The sequence below is a fragment of the Homo sapiens genome, chromosome X (assembly GCF_000001405.40).
Source record: "Homo sapiens chromosome X, GRCh38.p14 Primary Assembly".
In the NCBI taxonomy this organism is placed as follows: Eukaryota; Metazoa; Chordata; class Mammalia; order Primates; family Hominidae; genus Homo; species Homo sapiens.
Window position 1 is genome coordinate 40,553,189 of NC_000023.11, and position 19,143 is coordinate 40,572,331.

Here is a 19,143-nt window from a genome sequence, read left to right on the forward strand (position 1 = left end):
AAGATTGGAGAGAGACATTTGAATTGAAAGCAGCGGAGGAAATAGAAGACTTGTGGCTTCCATGTCATGTTCATTCCTTGAGTGAACTGGTGGGCAAAATCACCCCTATCATTTCAGCTGTTTTCTCTTGCTCTGCAAAGTGTATACAGTGCAATTGACATATTTTAAAGGGTCAGATGATGTGACTCTGCTGCATATTGACATGTGACTATAAAGAAAACAGATGGAAAGGTATGCCCCCAAACATTATGTTTTTTAACGAATTATTTTTTCTTTTACCTTTTTGTTTTCATGTGCATTTATCTGTATTTTTACATTTTTCTCCAATGAACAGCCTGAGAGTGAATTTTGTATTACTTCTGGAATATAAAAATAATTGTTTTAAGTCAGTGCTTACCCACCACAAAGTAGCCCACCAAGGCCAGAAGAGTTAGAAGTTCATCTGGATCCCCCAGGGCCTCCTAAAAAGGGAAAATGGTGTGTTCTCTCCTTCAAGCCCAGGGTACATTCTATTTGCCACCACAGCCAAAGGGACTTGGGAGGCATTAGAGATGGTGCTGGTGCTTTCAGAAACTGCGGTCCTGCTGTGGCCCCCTGAAGACAGCAGCTCCCCTGCCCTAACACGATGCCACTGCCCCTGGGGTTCAAAAATATGAGAAACATCTCTTGCAGGGATGGCTCCCCATTCTGGGGACCCAGCTACCTCATCCCTTCCCCTGAGGGCTTCTGTCACCATCCCATTGATTGCCATGCCACACAGGGAGCTAGCGCAGCTGAACTACAGGTGAACTACACAGCAGGATAGACTTCGGTAAACACAGGACACCTTTCAGAGGAACGAGCAGAGCCTCAAAACACTCAGTTAGGTGCAGGTTGAAAGCGTGAAACAATCTCTTGCAGCAACTTGCTGCCATTTCCAGTCAGCAAGCTCCCGCCTCTGAACGTGCTAATAAGCATCACTCCCAGGTACCCACGGCTCACCTGGAGCATACAGCATCTCACTGAATGTGCAGAACGAGCCTCCAGCGGGCCGTCATCACTCCTACTCAACAGGTGAAGGAAGCCAGGCTCCGGGAGACAAATGAACTCACTTAAGTGTCTCAAGGTGCACTCCCTGGGAAGGAGACTCCTGAGGCAGAGTTGAGCCTGTAGGATGTTAAGTACTCTTGGAAAGAAGGAGAAAGAATTGGGGGAGCAGAAGGGAGGGAGGGTGGATGGTGGAGTGAGCTGTGATGCAGGCTCTGAGACAGCCTCAGCCATCCCCACGGGAAGCTGTGGAGCAAGACTGGCTTTTCAGAGTTGTCCTGAGTTGGGCCAACACATGGTTGGATTTTTAAGCTCTAGCTGGTCAACAAATGGGGATTTCCCCAAAAAGCGATGACCTTGATGAGGCACTTTCTGGAGCTGCTAAGGGCTGAGGGTGTCCGCAACAGCCCTGCCGATAGCAGAGGGAGCAACGGATCCTTCCTTGAAGGGGATCACCGTGACCACCACACCAAGGTCACCCAACTAATGAGTGACAGAGCCGCCATTGAGAGCAAGCAACTTATCAGTGCTTTCTGCTCTGCTACTGAGTTAAGCTGCCTCCTCTGAGCTCCAATTTTCACAGCAGCTCTGGCCCTCCACCTAGACTGGGTCCTCTCTCTCAGACCTTCTAGAAAAGAGCTAGCCCCTTTTGGAATCTAGATAACAATGCCGTTCCAGCTGCATGCAACCTGGGCCAAGTCTCAGGAGTTCCCTGACCAGCTATTCTAGTTTCTGAGGCTTTGGGGTCTTTTACTTTTGCCCCAGTTAAGCCAAACATGGCAACTTCTTCCTCTTTAGCCCAAGGGTGAGCCATTCTGCCCCCCAGCCCCCATCACCGCCATCACCTCTACAACCTCCTTCAGCCCCACCTCATTCTTTAGCAGTTTTAAGAAAGGCTGTTCCTAAGTGAATCAGCGCAGGAACAGAAAGGCAAATACTAGCCAGGGGTGGTGGCTCGTGCCTGTAATCTCAGCACTTTGGGAGGCTGAGGCAGGTGGATCACCTGAGGTCAGGAGTTCGAGACCAGCCAGGCCAACATGGCAAAACCCTGTCTCTAGTAAAAATACAAAAATTAACTGGGCATTGATGGCAGGCACCTGTAATCCCAGCTACTTGGGAGGCCGAGGCAGGAGAATTGCATGAACCCCGGAAGGCAGAGGTTTCAGTGAGCCGAAATCATACCAGATGGAGACTCTGTCTCAACAAAAAAAAAAAAAAAAAAAAAAAAGAAAGGCTGCTCCTAAGTGAATCAACAAAGGAACAGAAAGCCAAGTACCGCATGTTGTCACTTATAAATGGGAGCTAAACATTGAGTACACATGGTCACAAAGAAGGGGACAATAGACACCAGGGCCTACTCGAGGGTGGAGGGTGAGAGGAGGGAGAGGATTGAAAAACTACTTACGGGTGCTAATGCTCATTACCTGGGTGACAAGATAATCTGTACACCAAATCCCCATGAGAAACAATTTACCCTTCTAACAAACCTACACATGCACCCCCTGAACCTAAAATAAAAGTTGGAAAGAAAAAAAAAAGGCTGTAATTATCTGAAGGAGTTTTACCAAAACCTAAGGAAATTCACAAGGGAAACAAAGAACATTGGCAGTGCATAGTGGCAATTCCTAAGTATAGTTTTCTCATCCTGTGTTAGCTTACCAGGCATCAGTGAGCTGAATCAAAATCCTGATTCAGAGGTGCCCTTTTTCTTTTTCTTTTCTTTTTTTTTTAATTTTTAATTTTTAATTTTTTTGAGAATGAGTCTCCCTCTGTCACCTAGGCTGGAGTGCAGTGGCGTGATCTCAGCTCACTGTAACCTCTGCCTCCTGGGTTCAAGCGATTCTCATGTCTCAGCCTCCTGAGTAGTTGGGACTACAGGCACCCACCACCATGCCTGGCTAATTTTTGTATTTTTAGTAGATATGGGGGTTTCACCACATTGGCCAGGATGGTCTCGAACTCCTGACCTCCAAGTGATCCACGTGCCTTGGCCTCCCAAAGTGCTGGGATTACAGGCGTGAGCCACCGTGCCTGGCTCCCTTTTCTCTTTCTTCTTTTCTTTCTTTCTCTTTCTTTCTTTCTTTTTTTTCTTTTTCTTCCTTTCTCTCTCTCTCTTTCTTTTTCTTTCTTCTTTCTTTTTTTTTTTGCGTGTGTGTGTGTGTGTGTGTGTGTGTGTGTGTGTGTGTGAGACAAGGTCTCACTCTGTCACCCAAGCTGGATTGCAGTGGCCCAGTTATGGCTTACTGCAGCCTCCACCTCCTGGGCTCAAGGGATCCTCCCACTTCAGTCTCCCGGTAGCTGGGACTATAGACCTCAGCATCTCAAACAGCTGGGATTACAGGTGTGTGCCACCACACCCAGCTAACTTTTTAAAAAATATATTTTGTAGAGATGGGGGTCTCACTATGTTGCCCAGGCTGGTCTCAAACTCCTGGGCTCAAGTGATCCTCCCACCTCAGCCTCCCAAAGTGTTGGTATTATAGGCGTGAGCCACCGCACCCAGCTGAGATGACCCTTTTCACTTCTCAGGTGTGTGTGTGTGTGTGTGTGTGTGTGTGTGTTTTAAGGCAGGGTCTCACTCTGTCACCCAGGCTGCAGTGCAGTGGCACAATCACAGCTCATTGCAGCCTTGACCTCCTGGGCTCAAGTGATCCTCCCACTTCAGCCCCCCAGTAGCAGGGACTATAGGCATGCACCACCACACCCAGGCCACACCCAGGTAATTTTTGCATTTTTTGTATAGACAGAGTTTTACCATGTTGCCCAGGCTGCACTTCTCGGGTTTTTATGCCCCCTCTTCACCCCCCACCAGCCACACAGGGCAGGAGTTAGTGGGCCACTCATTCTTGTAGCCCATCCAGAGATGAGTGACAAGGAAGACAACCCACACAGGCAAACAGCAGGCCAAATCATACCCCTCACCCTTCCTTAGGGGAGGGTTCTTTCTTCCTTTCTTTTCTTTCTTTCCTTCCTTCCTTCCTTCCTTCCTTCCTTCCTTCCTTCCTTCCTTCCTTTCTTTCCCTCCCTCCCTCCCTCTCTCCCTTCTTTCTCTTTCTTTCTCTCCCTTCCTTCCTTCCTTCCTTCCTTCCTTCCTTCCTTCCTTCCTTCCTTCCTTCCTTCCTTCCTTCCTTCCTTCCTTCTTTCTTTCTTTCTTTCTTTCTTTCTTTCTTTCTTTCTTTCTTTCTTTCTTTCTTTCTTTCTTTCTTTCTTTCTTTCTTTCTTTCTTTCTTTCTTTCTTTCTTTCTTTCGATGGAGTTTCACTCTTGTTACCCAGGCTCCAGTGCAATGGCGCTGTGATCTCGGCTCACTGCAACCTCCACCTCCCGGGGTCAAGCCATTCTCCTGCCTCAGACTCCCAAGTAGCTGGGACTACGGGCATGTGCCACCATGCCCAACTACTTTTTGTATTTTTAGTAGACACAGGGTTTCACCATGTTGGCCAGGCTGGTTTCGAACTCCTGACTTCAGGTGATCCACCCGCCTCAGCCTCCCAAAGTGCTGGGATTACAGGTGTGAGCCACTGTGCCCGGCCCTGAGGACTGTTATTTCATTTGGAGAGAGTAGGATTCTGGGATCTAAATGCACACAGCAGTGGCTTGGGAACAGTGGTCTTGCTGGCTGGAGATTGGACAGAAATGAGTGGGTTGGGGGAAGGGCATTGATGTAGGAGCTGAGGGACAAAGGAAACAGGAGAAGAGGCAGAAATGGGTTAGTGATGGACAGGGACGGTAGCAGCCTTTGTCAGAATCCCACTTGTCCAGCCAAGTGTATTAGTCCGTTGGAACAAAGGACCACACACTGTCTGGGTTCACCATCAGAAGTGTATTATCTCAGTTCCGGAGGCTGGGAGTCAAGCTCCAGGTGTTGGCAGGGTTGGTTCCTCCTGAGGGCTATGAGGGGAATCTGTTCCATGCCTCTCCCTCAGCTTCTGGTGGTTTGCTGGCAATCTTGGGGGTTCCTCACCTTGCAGAAGCATCACCCCATCTCTACCTGCACCTTCTCATGGCATTGTCCCTATATGCATGCCTGTGTCCACATTTCTCCTTCTTATAAGGACACCAGTCACATTCGGGGGTACTGGGGATTAGAGTGCTAACACAGTAGGTTGGTGCAAAAGTAATTGTGGTTTTTGCCACTGAAAGTAATGGCAAAAACCGCGATTAATTTTGCACCTTTGCACCAACCTAATATATTTTGGTGGGAGGAGGGACACAGTTCAACCCCTAACACCTACTGATTCCAAACTTAGAGTGTGGGTGTCCCTGGCTTTTGTCTACACCGCATGCCTGGCTATCTTCTTCTGGTAACAGCACTCCTCTTCCTTTAGAATGAATCCTTCAGGCTGGGCACAGTGGCTCACCCCTGTAATCCCAACAGAAGGCGGTAAGGGCGGGAGGATACTTTACACTCAGGAGCTTGAGGCTTGCCTGGGCAACATAGTAAGACTCCGTTCTTCAACAAAAAGGAAAAACAAAAACAAAAAACAAGAAACAAATTTAGAATGAATCTTTTCTTTCCATACTGCTGCCAATAACATGACCCCATCTTCCCATTATATGGATGGGCACGTGACCCAAGCTGGCCAATCAAACTCTCTCTCAGCCCCTCTAGGTTCTTCAATTATTTAAATACTTCTAATGTGTGGATGGGGAAGGAGACTAGGCCTGTTTCTGAAAATTGACCCAGGCTCAGTCTGCTCCCAGTGTTTGCTCTTAGGGAAGTCCTCTACAATTACATGCCTGGATTGTTAGAAGTCCAGGGTTACTATGGCTGGGGAAACAGCGTGGCTTTGAAGTTGGAACCCCAACCTCCTCACTAACTGGCTGATTCAGTTTTCCATGTTGCAGTTTTCTCATCTATAAAATGTAATAACAACAGTGATATTTCTCTCAGCGCATTCTTACAAGGATCACATATGTGAGAATATGTAGGAATATTCTATACACATATTTATCATTATTAGAAAGGACAAATTTAGGAATAGGGGAGCCAAAGAGTAAGAATTTGTCCATATCAGGCCAGGTGCAGTGGCTCATGCCTGTAATCCCAGCACTTTGGGAGGCCAAGGCAGGTGGATCACCTGTGGTCAGGAGTTCGAGACCAGCCTGGCCAACATGGTGAAACTCTGTCTCTACTAAAAATACAAAAGTTAGCTGGGTGTGGTGGCACACACCTGTAATCCCACCTACTCAGGAGACTGAGGCAGGAGAATCATTTGAACCCGTGAGGCCGAGGTTGCAGTGAGCTGAGATCACGCCGCTGCACTCCAGCCTGGGTGACAGAATGAGAGTCTGTCTCAAAAAACAAAAAACAAAACACACACAAAAAAACAAAAAACAAAAACAAAAACACAGAACTTGTCCATATCTAAGCAGTCCTGGCTTAGAGATCTTGCATCATGCATCACCATGGAAGAGTGGGCCTCTCTCCTTTCTCCAAGCTGCCATTGTGCTTCTTATTTTATTTATAAGAGACAAGGTCTCTGCCGGGCATGGTGGCTCATGCCTGTAATCCCAGCACTTTGCAAGGCCAAGGTGGGTAAATCACCTGAGGTCGGAGTTCGAGACCAGCCTGACCAACATGGAGAAACCCCGTCTCCACTAAAAATACAAAATTATCCGGGTGTGGTGGCGCACAGGCAAACCTGGAAGGCAGAGGTTGTGATGAGCCTGAGATTGCACCACTGCACTGCAGCCCGGGCAACAAGAGTGAAACTCCGTCTAAAAAACAAATCAAAACAAAACAACACCACATCTACTCTAATTGCTCATAAACGTATTCAGTTACTTTTCCAAACTATTTTCTCACTCACTCTGTCACCCAGGCTGGAGTGCAGTTGTGCGATCTCGGCTCATTGCAACCCTCCACCTCCCCGGTTCAAGCGATTCTCCTGCCTCAGCCTCCTGAGTAACTGGGATTACAGGCATGCACCACCACGCCCAGCTAATTTTATTTCTTGTAGAGATGGGGTTCCAGATTGGCAGGAGTATCGAACTCCTGGCCACAAGTGATCAGCCCGCCTTGGCCTCCCAAAGTGCTGGGATTACAGGCGTGAGCCAAGGTGCCCGGTGGCTTCAAAGGTCTTTAGACCTAGGCAGGAAGATACGTACACACTTTTTAAAATTTTATTTTATTTATTTATTTTGAGACGGAGTCTCGCTCTGTCACCCAGTCTGGAGTGCAGTGGTGCAATCTCGGCTCACTGCAACCTCTGCCTCCTGGGTTCAAGCGATTCTCCTGCCTCAGCTTCCAGAGTAGCTGGGACTACAGGTGCACACCACTACACCCGGCTAATTTTTGTATTTTTAGTAGAGATGGGCTTTCACCATGTTGGCCAGGCTGGTCTCGAACTCCTGACCTCAGGTGATATGCCCGCCTCGGCCTCCCAAAGTGCTGGGATTACAGGCATAAGCCACCATGCCCAGCCTATGTATACACTTTTTAAGAGTCAAAGAAATGCAAAATCTGTTGAAGTGCTCAGCCTAGGTGGGGCTTATAGATTTAAGTGAGGAGACTAAAGAGGTAGTTAATGTGGGCTTTGAACACCCCTTGGAGTTATAGAATCATTGATTTAGCAACTTTCAATGTCAATGTATTCTTTTTGCCACTTCAAGCATGCTGATAAACCATTAGTTTCCTCGTGGGCAGGAGAGGAATTCCCCCGCCCAGCTCTCTCTAGTTCCAGAGCTTATCTGTGGCCAAAATTTCTGGTCAAAAGTAACTTCATTTCCCTGGAGTGATAACCATGTTCCTTAGTGGGTAACATCTTTCAACCCAGGTAAGATTTCTAATTAAGTTTAGAGATGTTTTAGAGTGGCCTATATTTTCTTATAAAGAATCTGAGGTGGCTGGGCACTGCGGCTCATGCCTGTAGTCCCAGCGCTTTGGGAGGCTGAGGCAGGAGGATTGCTTGAGTCCGGGAGATCGAGGGTGCAGTGAGCCATGATTGTGCCACTGCACTCCAGCTTGGGTGACAGAGTGAGACTTTGTGTTTAAAAGAAAAAAAAAAGGCCAGGCATGGTGGCTCATGCCTGTAATCCTAGCACTCTGGGAGGCCGAGGTGGGTGGATCACCTGAGGTCAGGAGTTGGAGACCAGCCTGGCCAACATGGTGAAACCCCGTCTCTACTAAAAACACAAAAAATTAGCTGGGCATTGTGGTGGATGCCTGTAATTCCAGCTACTCGGGAAGCTGAGGCAGGAGAATGTCTTGAACCCAGGAGGTGAAGGTTGCAGTGAGCTGAGATCGTGCCATTGCACTCCAGCCTGGGCAACAAGAGTGAAACTCCGTCTCAAAAAAAAAAGAAAAAAGAAAAAAAATACAAAAACAAAGAAGAAAATTATTCTCAGCAAATTGGGCATGATATGTACTTGTAATGTTTAACAAATTTAGCCAGTTGGAGAAACAGCCATGTGACTCTAAACGTCAAATATGTGACTGATTGTAGTTTTAGGATTTAAAGTTTAATTTGTACTATTGAATTGTACCAGAATATTCAGGAGAACTTTAAGTTCACTGGATTTAAAAGGTTAACTTGTTAGATCAATGTTATTTAATATTTGAGAAAGTTTTGTTCATTCAGACTGAAGTATTTTCTTTTTGTATTTTGGTTGGGTTTTTTTTGTTTGTTTTTTGTTTTTTTAAACAGGGTCTCACTCTGTTGCCCAGGCTGGAATGCAGTGGTGCAGTCACCGCAGCCTCAACCTCCTGGGCTCAAGCGGCCCTCCCACATCAGCCTTCCAAGTAGCTGGGACTACAGGTGAGCACTACCATGCCTGGCTAATTTTTGTTTTTTGTAGTGATCCTTCTGGTCTCCCAAAGTGCTGGCATCACACTCGTGAGCCACCACACCTGGCCCAAGTGAAGAATTTTGTTTTTCTTTTCTTTCTTTCTTTCTTTCTTTCTTTCTTTCTTTTTCTTTTTTCAGAGTCTCGCCCTGTCACCCAGACTGGAGTGCAGTGGCACAATCTCGGCTCACTGCAACCTCCACCTCCTGGGTTCAAGTGATTCTCCTGCCTCAGCCTCCCGAGTAGCTGGGATTACAGGTGTGCTCCCCCATGCCCAGCTAATTTTGTATTTTTAGTAGAGATGGTGTTTCACCATGCTAGCCAGGCTGGTCTCGAACTCCTGACCTCAAATGGCCCACCCACCTCAGCCTCCCAAAGTGCTGGGATTACAGGCGTGAGCCAGCGCGCTCGGCCTCTTTGGTCATCATTAATCTTTCATTCTCCCTTTCCTAGATAAAACATTGTTTATTCTTGTTGTGTTTTTTAAAATGTTTTATTTATATAATAGAGACAGGGTCTTGCTCTGTTGTCCTGGCTGGTCTCCAACTCCTGGGCTCAAGTGATCCACCTGCCTTGACCTCCTAAAGTACTGGGATTACAGCCACTGTGCCCAGCCTTATTCTTGTTGATTTGTATGAGGGAAAGGATATTTTCAAATTTCCAAAAGGATAGAGTTATTTGGGTTATTCATTCTTGTTACACTCTAATTTTGTTGTATTAAGGTCTGATAATTGGCTTATATGATACCTCTTTTGGAATATATTCAGAGTTTCTTTGAAGGCTAAGACTTGGTTAACTTTTATAAATTTTCCACAACTGAATAGAATATGTATTCTCTGTAAAGCACAGCGTTTTATATATTTCCACTGAATTCTGGGCCTGGAGTCATCTCGAAGGCTTACTCCCTTTATGTGTAGTGCCTGGGCTGGGAAGACTCGGCACAGCTGGGAGCTGATATAGCTGGGGCTCCTCCAGTTTCTGCTATCCCTCTGTGGTTTCTCTGCATGGTGGCATCAGGGAAACCAGACTTCTTATATTGTGGCTCAAAGCTCTGAAGACATTCCAAAAGGGATAGTGCCAGGCAGAAGTCATATTGTTTGTAATGCCTTTTGTGGCCTAGCCTTGAAAATCACACGGCCTCACTTCCACTGTGTTCTATTAGAGGCGACACTTTTTTTTTTTTTTTAATCTTGCTCTGTCACCCAAGCTGGAGTGCAGTGGTGCGATCTCGGCTCACTGCAACCTCCGCCTCCTGGGTTCAAGTTATTCTCGTGCCTCGGCCTCCCAAGTGGCTAGGATTACAGGTGTGTGCCATCATGCCTGCCTATTTTTTTGTATTTTTAGTAGAGATGGGGTTTTGCCATGTTACCCAGGCTGGTCTCAAACTCCTGGCTTCAAGTGATCATCCACCTGCCTTGGCCTCCCAAAGTGCTGGGATTACAAGCGTGAGCCACCTCACCCAGTCGCATTTTTTTTTTTTTGAGACAGAGTCTCACTCTGTTGCCCAGGTTGGAGTGCAGTGGCACCATCAAAGCTCACTGCAACCTCAACTTTCTGGGCTCAAGGGATCCACCCACCTCAGCCTCCTGAGTAGCTGGGACTACAGCCATGCTATTATGCCCAGTTAATTTTTTTATTTTTTGTAGAGACAAGGTCTCGCTATGTTGCCCAGGCTGGTCTTGAACTCCTGACCTCAAGCAATCCTCCTGCCTTGGCCTCCCAAAGTGCTGGGATTACAGGCCTGAGCCACAGCACCTGGACTGCCCCTGAGTTTTGTTGGTATTGATAAAAACCAGTAGTCTTTTTCTGTCCAACCATCCTAATTCACTGCAGCCCAGCCCCTGTCCAAGCCCCAAAGGCTCTCCAAGGAAGGCTGACCCCTCCCTCGTGGGACCCCTGGGATGAGGCACCAACAGCTGGGATCCCAAGTGTATGGCTCCTTGCTTTTCCCTGAAACACTCAGCTCTTGTTTCCACAACACGTCTGAGGTGTTGCAGCAGCAGCCCCAACCGCACCCTCGATAAGAATCTGCCTTTCCTGGCCGGGCGCAGTGGCTCACGCCTGTGATACCAACACTTTGGGAGGCCGAGGTGGGTGGATCATCTGAGGACAGAAGTTTGAGACCACCCTGGCCAACAACGTGAAACCCCGTCTCCACTAAAAATACAAAATTAGCCAGGCATGGTGGCGTATGTCTGTAGTCCCAGCTACTGGGGAGGCTGAGGCAGGAGAATCGCCTGAACCCGGGAGGTGGAGGTTGCAATGAGCTGAGATCGCACCATTGCACTCCACTCCAGCCTGGGTGACAAGAGCGAAACTCTGTCTCAAAAAAATCTGCTTTTCCCAACAACAATCCGTACCCCGATGTTGAGCTTCATCCAGCTTCTTTCTGCTTGATGAGTTCCCCAAGGGTTCCCACGTCCCCCGTCTGGCAGCTGAGCCCACCAAGAGCTCTCTCCACCCATCAGACAGGGACAGACCCTGAATTCTCTAATCTCAGGAATCTCTTTGACCCCTCACAAAAACTTGCTCTGGGATAGTCTTTGTGTACCAAGGGTTACTGGGAGAAACAGGTTATATTGAGACACAAAGAAAGATCTTGCTCTACCCGTCCCTGGGGCCAGTGGTTATCTGTTGCCAATAAGATTTATAGCAGTAAGAGGGGTGGACCAAGGTCAGCTCCAAGGTGATCTGTTACCTCCTCCTAGACAGACTGTGTTGTTGTTTTGCCTTCCTTTTGTTTGCTACTTAGTCTCACTCTATTGCCCAGGCTAGAGTGCAGTGGCACAATCTCGGCTCACTATAACCTCTGCCTCCCGGGTTCAAGCGATTCTCCTGCCTCAGCCTCCAGAATAGCTGGGACTACAGGTACATGCCACCATGCCCAACTAATTTTTGTATTTTTGGTAGAGACAGGATTTCACCATGTTGCCCAGGCTGGTCTCAAACTCCTGGCCTCGAGTGATCCACCCACCTTGGCCTCCCAAAGTGCTGGGATTACAGGCGTGAGCCACCGCGCCCAGCCATGTTCCTTTATTTTTTGAACTGGTAGTACATTTGCATGGTTCAAAATTCACAACGTAACAAAAGATATATAGTCTCCCCACTCCTGCCCTCAGCCACCCATATCTTCTCCCCAAAAGCAACCAATTTGATCAGTTTTTTGTGTGTTTCCTTCAGAGTTATTTTATGTATATACTAGCAAATATACATATATCTCTATATATTCCACTCCTTTTTACATAAATGGTGGTATGCAACACAAAATGTTCTGCTACCTTTTTTTTTCACTTAACAATATATCTACAATTGATCCATAGAGCTTTCTGTTCTTATTACAGCTTCAGAGTACAGTGTATTCTGAAGTATAAATGTATTCTAAGCTATTTAACTGAAAGTATTTTGCTGGTGGACTCTGGTTGGTTTACATGCCACTTACAAATACAGTCATGCCTCACATAACAACAGGGATACTTTCTGAGAAATGCATGGTTAGGCGATTTTATCATTGTGCGAAATCACGGAGTGTGCTTACACAAACCTAGATAGCCTACTACAGACCTAGACTGTATGGTGTAGCCTATTGCTTCGAGGCTACTAACCTATACAGCTTGTGACTGTCCTGAATATTGTAGGCAATTGTAACACAATGGTAAGTATTTGTGTATTTAAACATAGAAAAGACACAGTAAATGGTATGATTTTATGGGACCAGCTTCATATATGCGGTCTGGACTGTTGATTAAAACATCATTATATGGTGCATAACTGTAACTGTACTGAATAAACTTATAAACAGGACCCAGACAGCTTTTAACAAGTAAATTCTTTTGCTTAGAAATAAATTAAAATTCCAACTAAAGGAGGCATCCTGCTGTGTAAGATAAAGAATGATAAAATATCCCAGAGGATCAGAAAAGATACAACTTACTTTTGGCTGGCTCGGGACGAGGGAGACGATATGTGTGGAGTGAAAAGACTGAGTCTGGCCGGGCTCGGTGGCTCACACCTGTAATCCCAGCACTTTGGGAGGCCGAGGCAGGTGGATCACCTGAGGTCAGGAGTTCAAGACCAGCCTGGCCAACATGGTAAAACCCCTTCTCTACTTAAAATACAAAACATTAGCTGGGCTTGGTGGTGGATGCCTGTAATCCTGGCTGCTAGGGAGGCTGAGGCAGGAGAATTACTTGAACCCAGGAGGCAGAGGTTGCAGTGAGCCAAGATTGCGCCATGGCACTTCAGCCTGGGCAACAAGAGCGAAACTCTGTCTCAAAACAAAAAAGAAAAGAAAAGAAAAAGACTGAGTCTGCAAGAGGGGAAATCACAGATGGATTCATTTAGAAAAAAATTCAGTTACATTGAACTATGTATAGAATGCACGGTATTGGGGGGTGCATTTAATTGAGTTGTTAGCTCAATTAAAAAAAAACTCTAACTTAAAAACTCCAATATTAAAACGGCATTTTATATACTGCTTGCCTAGGAATGTAAGTATCAGGCTGTTCAAATAAATCACAGACCTACTGCAAAATCTGACCCAGTTCTTAGGAACACAGACTATAAAACACCGTAATGGAGGCAAAAATCCACATCAAAATCTCCTTTGTCTCGGAAGATTGGATTTAAAGAAGCCCTTCTCTATTCAGTGACACTATAACTGGTAAATTAGAATAATACTATTCTTGCCTTTTGTCATTAATATATGCTTGCCACTTCTTGGCAAATGTCTCTGGTTTCTTTTTGGTTGGTGGGTAGAAGGTGAGTGTAATGCAGTTAAGGTAGCAAATTTTCCCACAAACAGGCACTGCAGACATGACATCTTCCCACAATGCACTTGACGCTCTGAATTATTAATTAGGGCGTTATATGTATTGCTCAGTGCATGAGGTTATATTTAACTCCATGTACTGAACAATCTAAGCTTTCTACCTTCCTGGGTTTGAAAATTAATTTGTAACAAGATTTCTTGTGTGTTTGTTCAGAAAAACATTCTTGTAACAAGGGTGGGAAATCATTTTAAGCTGACCCAGAGAGGTGAAAAGTCAGTTGAGGTCTGGGATAGAATCCCCAAATAGGAACATCCATAATTAACTCCTGGCACCCCCAGGTTCAATCTTCCAGAAAATTCTGTCTAGAAGTATTGGGAAAGACATCAATCAGATCTGAGTTCAAATCTACATTCAGCCAAAATCTAAAATACGGCCAGGTGCAGTGGCTCATGCCTGTAATCCCAGCACTTTGGGAGGCAGAGGTGGGTGGATCATTTGAGGTCAGGAGTTCGAGACCAGTCTGGCAAATATGGGGAACTCCTGCCTCTACTAAAAATACAAAAATCAGCCGGGCGTGGTGGCAGGCACCTGTAGTCCCAGCTACTCGAGAGGCTGAGGCAGGAGAATCAGTTGAACCTGGGAGGCAGAGGTTGCAGTGAGCCGAGATTGTGCCACTGCACTCCAGCCTGGTGACAGAGTGAGACTCCATTCCAAAAAAATAAATAAATAAATAAATAAAAATACAAAAATATTTTGCAATTATTAAAAAGATTTTTGCAGACATTTTGTGAAACAGATGGTACTGCAGCATTTTATGTAAAGACAAAACACTGGAAGCAATTTAAATGTCTGTTGGAATGGGTTTGGAAAAATAAGTTATGATACGCTGATTATGTTGTGAAGTGACTTAGGCCAATTTGGTCAGGCACACATGGAAGCTCTCTGTAGCCACCATTAGTCCAAAGTAAGTGGAGCCTACTTATTCCCCACCTTGCTACTGGGTTAGAACAAAAGCAGGTCTCAGGTCCAAATTGGCCAAATATATTAACAAGCAGGCACAACAATTGTATAACCTCTTCGATGGACTCAAACCCAGCTCTTGGTCGTTCGTGCAAGGTTCATTTGCTGCAAAGGCTACAGTGTCCTGAAAACAGGATTCCTTTAGCCTTGTAGGTGGAATCAGGCAACAAGAATGTTCAAATTCATGGCTGGACAAAGGGCTTATTGGACATCTAGCCTTAGGTGCTACTGAGCATGGGCCACATGCCCATCTAGATTCAATCACCTTGGTTGTGTAAGGGTGAGGAGGATCTCTAGCATAGCTCACAGCCAATCCGTATACCTTGAATACTTCTTAATTCAACAATAAGAGCCTATTTCTAATAGCCATTGTGCAGATTGACTTGAACACTCATTATGCTCATTAGCAACATATCTGGCAACACCTGTAAAGGGCAACGGACTGTTCCAAGAGGGTAGCTTAAGGTAACTACAGTAACACACATTGCTAACACACTATCTGTATATTACAGACACCATAACACAGACAATAGAATACTATGCACCTATATACTTCCTGAAATGGCATGGTAGCTGAGATATTTTATCTTTTTTTTTAGAGAGAGACAAGAGCTCACTATGTTGTCCAGGGTGGTCTTGAACTCCTGGCCTCAAGCAATCTTCCTGCCCTAGCCTCCCGAAGTGCTGGGATTACAGGCATGAGCCACCTTACCCAGTTGCTGAGACATTTTAAAGTAAAATAAGCAAGAATGTGTAATGTGATATTTTTCTAAGAAAAAATTAAAAATTATATATATGATTGAATAGGTATAGCAGAAAGTCTAGACCAATATAGAACTTATTTTTACCTCTAGAGAGGGAAGAGATGACAGAATCCCTCCATGTTTTTCTTTTTTCTTTCTTTCTTTCTTTTTTTTTTTTTGAGATGGAGTCTTGCTCTGCCACCCAGGCTGGAGTGCAGTGGCATGATCTCGGCTCACTGCCACCTCTGCCCACCTCCCAGGTTCAAGCAATTCTCCTGCCTCAGCCTCCTGAGTAGGTGGGATTACAAGCGCTTACCACCACGCCTGGCTAATTTTTGTATTCTTAGTAGAGACAGGGTTTCACCATGTTGGCCAGGCTGTTCTTGAACTCCTGACCTCAAGAGAGCCGCCCACCTTGGGCTCCCAAAGTTCTGGGATTACAGGCATGAACCACTGCACCTGGCCCATGTTTTACTTTATGCATTTCTGTATTTTGAGGTTTTTTTTCACAAGTATGCATTACTTTGGTAACATAAATTTTAAAAATTAAACTTTTTATAAAGTGATGTTGCATAATAATTATGTGATGAGATGCTGATAATATATTGTTGGGTAAAATGGTATTCCATTAGCTATGACAGCCATTGTCTCCTTACCTATATGCAAACCCGTATGGCAGATTGTATTTTCCAAAGATGGCCACACCAATAAATATCCGAATCCACAGGCTCTTCTTACAATGTGACTTTGACTTTGACAAGCCTCTACTGATGGGTGGAGGGTCCATGTTCCCTCCTCTTGAACCTGGGCAGCCCCTTATATCTGCCTTGACCAGTAGAATAGAGAGGAAGTGATGCTCAGTGACTTTCTAAAGCTAGTTCATAAAAGGTGCTATGGCTTCCACCTGGTTTTCTCCTTTTGGGGACACACACCTTAGCCTTTGGAATCCAGAGTTTCCATGGAATCCATCTGGTTACCCTGAAGCCACCTCCTAGAATGTCCATGTGTGGAGAGGTCATGTAGAAATAGAGAGAGAGTTGCCCAATATGCCCCAACACTTCCAGCCCCCAGATGTTTGAGTCTTTCCAGCACAGGTGCCAGGCATGTGAGTGAAGAAACCTTAAAGATGACACCACCTCCAGCCACTGTCTGACTGCAGTGGCACTGAGAGACCCCAAGCCAGATGCCACCCAGCCAAGCTGCTCCCAAATTCCTGATCACAGAGACGTGATCCTGCCTCTACTAAAAATACAAAAATCAGCTGGGCATGGTGACAGGCACTTGTAATCCCAGCTACTCAGGAGGCTGAGGTGGGAGGATCTCTGGAACCCAGGAGGTGGAGGTTGCAGTGAGCCAAGATCGGGCCACTGCACTCTAGCCTGGGAGACAGAGCGAGACTCCATCCCAATAAAATAAATAAATAAAGTATGGACTTTATTATTAATACATTAATATTGGTTCTGACAAATATACCACACTAATGTATCATGGTAACAATAGGGGAAAGTTGGATGTAGAGTATATGAGAATTCTCTGCACTATCTTTGTAGCTTGTCTATAAATTGAGACCTATTCTAAAATAAAAAGCTCATTCAAACAAATTCTAACTGGAAAGTTGAACCGGGCACCAAGTGGAAAGCTGAACTGTGGATGAAGGAGAGAGCAAATGCCGCACGAGAAGTCTGAACACCACGAGAGTTAGGAACATGGGGCTGTAAGCTCCTCCAGGGTGAAGTCTCAGTCTGAGGCACCCTTCTCTCCCCATCCCCAGTGCCACACCTAGTGCAAACAGAACTCAACTTCTGTGCAGAAGAAATGGGTGAGGACAATGACAATGCAAAGCCAGGCTTCCATGCTCCTCTGTAGGCTCTCCCTAATACCCAAGAGCGGGTCAGTGCAAGGTGCTCCCGCAGGCCGCTAGGTGCAGGTTTCCTGGAATGGCCCTGCTGGGGATGAGGAAGGGTATCTAGAGACTGAAGATTTTTCATTAATAAGTCATCGCATTCATAAAGGGGAAGTAGCTACCAGAGGTGATGAGAGAAGAGGGAGCACAGTTGTTTTCCTGAGGCTGGTAATGGATCCTTAATGACCAATTCACACTCCCGAGTCTAGACTCTTTCCCCTATGGTCAGCAGGACGATGCTCCATAACTGGGGGAAGCTGGAGTGTGATCTCCCTAGAGGAGGGAGGGGCTTGAAGACTGCTGGAAGCTTTAAACAGCTGCAGGGATGGGGAGGAAGGGAGGAAGCAGTGAGTGGGGCAGGAGAAAGGGTGGTCAGGCAGGTTTGAGGGCCCACATGACAGCCACTTCCCAGGGGTAGGGGAATTTCCACAGCAGCAATCAGCAGCCCATTATAGAAAAAGAAGGTGGGCAGCCACATGCTGGGAGGAAAGGGAATCAGGCTGTGGTTTTTTGAATCATGGGTTAAAAGCGGAACGGGGAAGGCAGAAGAGACAGAAGCGGAGCTGGTGGGAGGAAATAGAGGACCTGCTCACGACATCAAGCACCTCAACCAGCTCCTGTCAGCTCCAGAGATTCTGTCTTAAAAAGAGTTGTAGCAGAGATGAAATCTTGCCCTGTCTTTGCTTTTGTAATTATCTGTGCTACCGGAAAGGGGTCCAGATCCAGACCCCAAGAGGGAGTTCTTAGATCTCGAGCAAGAAAGACTTTGGGGCGAGTCCATAAAGTGAAAGCGAGTTTGTTAAGAAAGTAAAGAAATAAAGAATGGCTACTCCATAGGCAGAGCAGCAGCTTAGGGTGCCCAACTGATAGTACTTATAGTTATTTCTTGATTATATGCTAAACAAGGGGTGGATTATTCATGAGTTTTCCGGGAAAGAGGTGGGCAATTCCTGGAACTGAGGGTTCCTCCCCCTTTTAGACCATATAGGGTAACTTCCTGACATTGCCATGGCATCTGTAAACTGTCATGGTGCTGGTGGGGGTGTCTTTTAGCATGCTAATGCATTATAATTAACATGTGATGAACAGTGAGGACGACCAGAGTTCACTTTCATGGCCATCTTGGTTTTGGCAGCCTTCTTTACCGCATGCTTTATCAGCAAGGTCTTTATGACCCGTATCTTGTGCGGACCTCCTATCTCATCCTGTAACTGAGAATGCCTAGTCCTCTGGGAAGGCAGCCCAGTAGGTCTCAGGCTCATTTCACCCAGCCCCATTCAAGATGGAGTCACTCTGGTTCAAATGCCTCTGACATCTGGAAATTGAACTTACTGTGATCCTTTTACTCCCAGAAAATTCCCTCCATTTCATACTTATGGATAATAGAAACCATCATTTGTTAATTTATTCATTCACTCATTCATTCATTCATTCCTTCATCCATTGCTGTGTGCTTACAATGTGCTCTGTGCACATTGGGCACTGCTAACTTGGAGCTGAACCACGTGGAAATAAGCTTTTTCTTCTTTACCCCTTCAGATGGGACATAAATTCTCAGTTTATTTCCCTAAGATTTAGCTCTGAAGTTATCAGGGCCCAGTGTTCACACAGTGCATTATAAACACACAATATTAAATAAAGGGATGAATGAATAGTGAATGAACAAATTCACAAATAATGTTTCCTATTCATGTGAGTTTAAATATACTCATCCACTAGGTGCAAACTGAGAATACCCTACTTTTGAAAGTTTTTAGATACAATTTGATATGGTTACATGCTTACATCTTTTTTCTCCCTTTCACACAGCTACGAACTCTAACTTGCATGAGTCTTAAGTGGACAACTTATTGCATTTTCACCTATGTATATCCCTCATGTAACCACCACCTAGA

The 19,143-nt window shown here is 45.8% G+C and overlaps 2 annotated features.

Annotated features, from left to right (window-relative positions):
• Positions 17,842-17,931: an enhancer, noted in NCBI's record as "active region_29544". NCBI's record gives its function as "activates an Ori minimal core promoter by ATAC-STARR-seq in GM12878 lymphoblastoid cells {active_cell/tissue: GM12878}" and the evidence as "EXISTENCE:reporter gene assay evidence [ECO:0000049][PMID:35858748]".
• Positions 17,942-18,021: an enhancer, noted in NCBI's record as "active region_29545". NCBI's record gives its function as "activates an Ori minimal core promoter by ATAC-STARR-seq in GM12878 lymphoblastoid cells {active_cell/tissue: GM12878}" and the evidence as "EXISTENCE:reporter gene assay evidence [ECO:0000049][PMID:35858748]".